This window comes from Homo sapiens, chromosome 7 (assembly GCF_000001405.40).
Source record: "Homo sapiens chromosome 7, GRCh38.p14 Primary Assembly".
NCBI lineage: Eukaryota > Metazoa > Chordata > Mammalia > Primates > Hominidae > Homo > Homo sapiens.
This window is the reverse complement of record NC_000007.14, coordinates 50867850-50868733: the sequence shown is the minus strand read 5'-3', so window position 1 is coordinate 50868733 and position 884 is coordinate 50867850. Positions and strand designations below refer to the sequence as shown.

Sequence of the window (884 nt, the reverse complement as noted above, 5' to 3'; positions counted from 1 at the left end):
AGTGTGAACCGATTCACAACAGGATGCTCCTGGGGGCTTAAGACTGACCCTCTCTGAGCAGAGCACTTGAGTAACAGATGCATGGCAAATGTCTGTAACACTCTGAGGAACTGGCATTGAGGTTAGCATTGCAGAGACATACAAAGGCACAATCCCTTCCTGGAATAATCTGCCGCTGGGCCCAGTTTTCCCACTCACACCTTTTGTGACATAATTTTGCCTCTCATTCTGGATGACTGTGGTAGACTTGTTCATTTCTCCTCACAGACTCAGGGCTCCAGTCCCATGGAACGTTTGCTGTTCCCTGAAATCATGATGCGGATCCCCACCCCTTGCCTTTGTTGCCTCTTCTACCTGGGCTGGCTTTTCCTTTGCCTCAACTCTGTTTTGTGGGAAAAAGGCAAGTCCCTAGGAAATGGCAGATCCAGTAGATTATGGAAAAATGTAGCATCCACTCATGGAGAGTGGGAGAGAGGTCCAAAGCACCCTCAGTGAATGAGTGCATATCACAGTTATTACTAATTTGCAAATGGTGTGTGGCACACAGGCAGTATGGGTCTGCATTCCCTTTCTCTTCCAATATGGAAAAAAATGTGTGTCACGCAGGGATTTTTTTTCCACACTGGAGGAGAAAGGGAACGTAGAGCCACATTATGGAGCCCCATCTCATAGAGGAGGCTCCCAGCACCAAGGAGACAGACCTGCTGCCCAAGAAGGCAAGAGCTTCCCGGCTGCAGACCCAGAGACTCGGTTGGCCTCACTGCCTTTGCTGCATCTGCTGCCGCGGTTCCCCATCGTGTCAAGACCTAAAGCCCTGCGACCACTGCCACCCCAGCCCACTGCCATACTTAGCCAGTCAGGTATTGTGCGTCTCAGTCTCAACC

General features: G+C 50.6%; 1 annotated feature.

Annotated features, from left to right (window-relative positions):
• Positions 384 to 884: an enhancer, noted in NCBI's record as "H3K4me1 hESC enhancer chr7:50935547-50936047 (GRCh37/hg19 assembly coordinates)". NCBI's record gives its function as "activates a minimal SCP1, AML or CMV promoter by ChIP-STARR-seq in naive H9 embryonic stem cells {active_cell/tissue: H9 hESC(naive)}" and the evidence as "EXISTENCE:reporter gene assay evidence [ECO:0000049][PMID:30033119]".